We start from the raw sequence: 6,016 nt of genomic DNA on the forward strand, positions 1-6,016 counted from the left end.
GAAAATGTAGTGAGAAATATGATAATCATGTAATTTCAAAGTGCCTCTGCAAAACACGTATTAATTACAAAGAAGAAAAGAGTAACTTTATAGTGAAGAAGTCTGGCAGACAGCAACTTAATTAAGTGATCAGCGTGAGCATCTCCAGTAATGGGGCAAATTAAAATCACGTGTCCCTGGATAGGACGTCAGGGGAAGAATTCAGCGTCATTTCTGAGCTATTTCTGCCAATGATCCATAAACGGGATCTAATCATGAGGAAGCGTCAGACAGACCCAAAATAACTGTCCTGTAATCTGCAGACGTGTCAAGGTCTTTAGAGTCAAGGAAAAACTGAGGAACTTCTTCAGATGAAAAGAGACTAATGGGACATGAGAACTAAATGCAACATGATTCTGTAGTGGATCTTGCTGCTATAAAACACATTATAGGAATAACTGGAGAAAGTGGAATGGGCCCTGAGGATTAGATTCATCCATGTGTCATTGTTAATCTCCTGATTTTGATGCTTGCATTGTGATTGTGTAAGAGAAGGCCCTTATTTATAGAAAATATTCACTGAAGTATTAGACAGTAATGGGGCATCCAGTCAGCACTTTGCTCTCCAATGCTTCAAGAAAACGGAAGTTTTTTGTACTGTACTTTCAACTTTTCTGTGTGATATTTGAAAAAAAAAAAAAGTGTGATCATTGCACAAAAAGCATCCTCCTGGACTCTGTCTCCGGAGGTTCTGATTTAATGGGTGTAAGTTGGGACCAGGACGGCTGGGAGTGGTGGCTCATGCCTGTAATCCCAACACTTTGGGAGGCCAAGGCGGGAGGATCACCTGAGGTCAGGAGTTCGAGACCAGCCTGGCCAACATGGTGAAACACTGTCTCTACTAAAAATATAAAAATTAGCCAATCGTGGTGGCAGATGTCTGTAATCCCAGCTGTTTGGGAGGTTGAGGCAGGAGAATTGCTTGAACCCAGAAGGCAGAGGTTGCTGTAAGCCAAGATCACGCCACTGCATTCCAGCCTGGGCAACAGAGCAAGACTCCGTCTCAAAAAAAAGAAAGAAAGAAAAAAAAAAAGATGGGACCAGGACATTTGCCTGTGTAACCACTCCCCTAAGAGATGTCAATGCTGCTGGTCCGTAGACCAGGCCATGAGTCCTAAGTGTCTATACACTGACCTCACTGTTCCTGGACTCACCAATTCATCATCAGTGCAGGTCCTTTGCTCTGTGCCTTCTACCTGGAAAGCTGTTCTCTCAGATCTTTTAGAATTGGCTCTTGTGTGCCATTCAGATCTCAACTCCATGCCACGTTCTCAGAGGGGCCATTCCTGACCCACCCACCCCCAGCTATCCACAGCTGTTCTACCACGACTCCCGGCTTCCTTTCATCTGTGATCTCTGTTAGTTTTCTATGGCTGCTGGAACAAAAGAGCACAAGCCTAGTGGCTCAATATAACCCAAATTTATTATCTCACAGTTCTGACACGTTGAAAGTCTGACATGTGTCCCACTGGGCTAAAACGGAAGCCTTGGGAAGGCTGTGGTGATCCTTCTGGAGGCTCTAGGGGAAATCAGTTTCCAGATTCTAAAGGTTGGCTGCATTCCTTGGCTTGTGGCCCCTTCCTCCATCTTCAAAGGCAGCAGCAATGCATCTCTGTGCCTTTTTTCTGCAGTCACATCTTCCTCTGATGAACTCTTCTACTTCCTTTTACTTTTAAGTATCCTTGTGAGTATACTGGGGTCACCCTGATAATACAAGATAATCTCCCCGTCTCAAAATCCTTAACAGAATCACATCTGCAAAATCTCTTTCGCCGTATAAGGTAACATATTCACAGGGTCTGGGGACCAGGACATATCTTTGGTGGTGGTCGTGGCGGGAAGGGCATTATTCATTCTACTACATTTTCCTTGAACCAACCTTTCAGGATGGAAGAAAACTTTGAGGTTGTCTGCCCCCAATGTCTTTCTCCTAGCTCTGAAATGAGCTGTTGGTGGAAGGGCAAGCCACTTCACACCCTCTTTGCCTGTTTTCTCATCTCTGCAATGGATATGGCAGCATGTACCCTTTAGTGTCTTTGGGATGAATGAATGAAGCCTCTGATGCAAACCATGTCGTAAGGACTCCCACACAGGAAAGGCATATTACATGTTCACACTTTCCCCTTTTGTCCTTGCCCCATCAGGAGACTGAGGCCCCAGGCAGGGCTGAGCCTGGCCTCTTCCACAAACAGACCTCTCTAACCCCTTGCTGATTTTCTTCTTCCCCTCTTCCCGTGGTTTAAATGGCAGTGAGCTTCTATCCTCAGCTTTCATAAGACTCTTTGACCTAAAGACAATATGATAGAGTCAGTAGCAAAGCTCAGCTCTCCCTCCCACACCTTGCCCACCCCTACTTCCTGATACAACATAGAGACACACATTCATTGTCTTCCCAGGTCTTCCCACTCAGGTGACCTGATCTGAATGATGTGAACTTTCCTGTAGACAGCGGGAAAGAAGCATATGGAGGAAACTCCTTTCTGGAGCTCCAGGAAAGCACTGATGGATGTGAGAAGAAGACCTATGAATAAATCACTCACCACCCCTACTGCCACTATCATGACTATTACTGTTTTTCTCTCATATGTTATCCTAAGGGCCTTGTCTATATCCCAGGATTTGAGGAAAAATCAAGTATTTGATATGAGAGTGCTTTGCACTGCTGGGAGCCTGGATATGTGTCTGACATCACCATTATTAATAGATCAAGCCCAGCACCAGGTGCCATTCTATGCAGCAGCACTGCTGACCTGGTCACTTGGGACCATACCAGAGCAGCTCAGGCCTCTACCAAACCCTTAGGAATCTGGGTTTTCTTCCTGTTTTCTTGCATGGGAATCCCTGAAAACTGCTTACTTGCCCCCATCCTACCAATCAAGCCCATGAATTTATTCAAAGACACTCTACAAGCCAAGTGTAATTCTAGGTTCTGGACCTTTAACAGTAGGAAATATAAACAGACTTTCCCTACATGTGGCTCACAGTCTAGCCCACCTTAGAGCTTACTTTTAGAATGAGGAGTGGGGTAGGGATGTGGGTAGCAACTTTAGCCAGAGACGGTTGAGTCCTCTAAATCTATTCTTCTCTATCCTGTAGTTTTTAACTCATTTGGAGGAGTCATGAGCCTCTTAGAGCATCTAAAGAAAGTTATGGTCTTGCTTACTTGAAACATGATCATAAACACCCACCTCTACACACACACACACACACACACACTCACACACACACCCCTACACACACACACACACCACTACACACACACACACACCCCTACACACACACACACACACCCCTACACACACACACACACACACACACACACACACACACCATTTTGTAATATTTTTCTTTTTTTTAACTTTTATTTTCAGTTCAGGAGGTATACGTACAGTTTTTTTGTTTTGTTTTGTTTTGTTTTTGTTTTGTTTTGAGACAGAGTCTCACTCTGTCCCCCAGGCTGGAGTGCAGTGGTGCGATCTCGGCTCACTGCAACCTCCGCCTCCCAGGTTCAAGCGATTCTCCTGCCTCAGCCTCCTAAGTAGCTGGGATTACAGCTGCATGCCACCATGCCTGGCTAATTTTTGTATTTTTAGCAGAGACGGGATTTCACCATGTTGGCCAGGCTGATCTCGAACTCCTGATATCGTGATCTGCCTGCCTCGGCCTCCCATGTACAGTTTTATTACATGGGTAAATTGCAAGTCACTGGAGTTTGGTATGCAAATGATTTCATCACCAAAATAGATAGCAAGTATAGTGCCCGATAGGTAGCTTTTTAATCCTCACCCGCCTCCCACCCTCTACCCTCAAGTAGGCTCCAGTGTCTATTGTTCCCCTCTTCGTGTCCCTATGTACTCAATGTTTAGCTCCCACTTATAAGTGAAAACATGTGGTATTTGGTTTTCTGTTTCTATGCTTATTTGCTTAGGATAATGGACTGCAGCTGAGTCCACATTGCTGCAAAGGACATGATTTCATTCTTTTTTATGGCTGCATGGTATTCTATGGTGTATATGTACCACATTTTCTTCATCCAGTCCACCATTGATGGACATCTATGTTGAGTCCACATCTTTGCTACTGTGAATACTGCTGCAATGAACATACAATTACATGCATATTTTGGTAGAATGATTTATATTTCTCTGGGAATACACCCAGTAATAAGATTGCTAGGTTGAATGGTAGTTCTGTTTTTAGCTCTTTGTTCTTTTTGCTTAATATTTACAAAGAATTTCTGAGAATCCATGACCCATGGAAGGAAGCCCTCTTGTGGATCTCAGGTTAGAACCCATTTCTTTCCACCAGTCCTGTCTAATCCAAGCAAACTTCTACTCCTCTCCAACAAGTCTTACTTTTTTTTTTTTTGACAGAGTCTCACTCTGTCGCCAAGCTGGAGTGCAGTGGCACGATCTTGGCTCACTGCAACCTCTGCCTCCCAGGCTCAAGTGATTCTCTTGCCTCAGCCTCCCGAGTAGCTGGACTACAGGCATGAGTCACCACACCCAGCTAATTCTTGTATTTTTAGTAGAGACGGGGTTTCACTATGTTGGCCAGGATTGTCTCAATTTCTTGACCTTGTGATCTGCCCACCTCGGCCTCCAAAGTGCTGGGATTACAGGTGTGAACCACTGTGCCTGGCCACTTTCTTAAAGGCCAGAGAACAGATGAATTAAAAAGTTGAGAGCTTGCTGAATAATGATTCAGTTACATACTCAGGCCTGTGGATGCTCATAGGAGAGAAGGAACAGGACAGAGTCTAACTCAGGCAGAAGAAAGGGAACAAATACTTCTTTAGAATTGCCAAAAATGGAAGGTGTGTGAAGATAAGGGTGTTGGAGATAGTTATTATTTTTACCTTATGTCAAAAAATGTTCAAATGAATTGTATCCTCAACAAACTGAGAATTTTCCATTGTACATCCTGACTTTTTGACTGTAATGAGCAGTTTTCTTTTGAGAGGCCTTAGCTTCAAGCTGAGACCAAGGATTCTAGTCTCTGAGCTGGTTCATATAACCAATAAAGTAATTAAATCACATCCATGAAAGAGAACATTTTCATCATAGGATACAGTAGGGGTTCAAAGTTTGACTCTTCTGTGCTTCAGAAAGAATGAATCAGGAAATTCAGAAATGAATTCAGGAAAAATGTCTGCTAACTCTACCCAATTTTGAATCACAGCATTAATTTCTTAAGAGCATCTTCTGCACTCATCCAAGAATAAATGAACATACACACACTCTTCGTTATAACCAGAGTCTGAGCATCAACTCTTCAGCCACTTCCACTTCCTACTCCTTAGCGCTTTGAGATCTTAGGGTGCAGCTCAAAATCAGAGAATGAGCTTTGCCTCAGATCCTGTGCAAGTGTGCTAGCCGCTGGCCGTGGTGCTGAAACAAAGCCTGTCCTTCAGGGCTGCAAGTCAGCTCTGTCTACTTTCTCATTTCTGAATGTTGTCTCCAGCACAGGATTACATCAGGTTGCACACAGTGTCTTATTTCCTGAAAGCCTCTATTTCCCAGATGTTTTACTTGGATCTCTGATTTACCCCGTCCTCTTCTAACTCTCCCCTTTCCAGCCACTCTCCAACAATAATCGCATGCCCCAGCCACATGGCCTGACTTGTAATTTCCCCCACATCTCAATCCTCTCCATAGTTCTGGGCCTTCATGCATGCTATTTTTTGAAATCACACACACACACACACACACACACACACACACGCACACACACACACACTTTCACTTGTCATAGCCCTTACTGATTACAAATTCTTTGAGACTCGCCAAAGTGTCACTTCCTTTAGGAAGCCCTTCCTTGATTACCCGTAAGTTGAGTTTATTTTACCTTGAAAATTGTTACCCTCTGCTACCTCAAATGAAATAAGTCAGCCCCAACTCTATATCCCCTGTGTTGCTCTCTACCACTGCATTCAACTCTCAATTATAATTTTCTTTTACATCTGCATTTTTTACTA

General features: G+C 43.8%; 1 annotated feature.

Annotated features, from left to right (window-relative positions):
* Positions 5,304 to 5,504: a silencer, noted in NCBI's record as "peak2712 fragment used in MPRA reporter construct". NCBI's record gives its function as "represses an SCP1 promoter by STARR-seq MPRAs in K562 erythroleukemia cells {active_cell/tissue: K562}" and the evidence as "EXISTENCE:reporter gene assay evidence [ECO:0000049][PMID:32103011]".

The sequence above is a fragment of the Homo sapiens genome, chromosome 17 (genome assembly GCF_000001405.40).
Source record: "Homo sapiens chromosome 17, GRCh38.p14 Primary Assembly".
In the NCBI taxonomy this organism is placed as follows: Eukaryota; Metazoa; Chordata; class Mammalia; order Primates; family Hominidae; genus Homo; species Homo sapiens.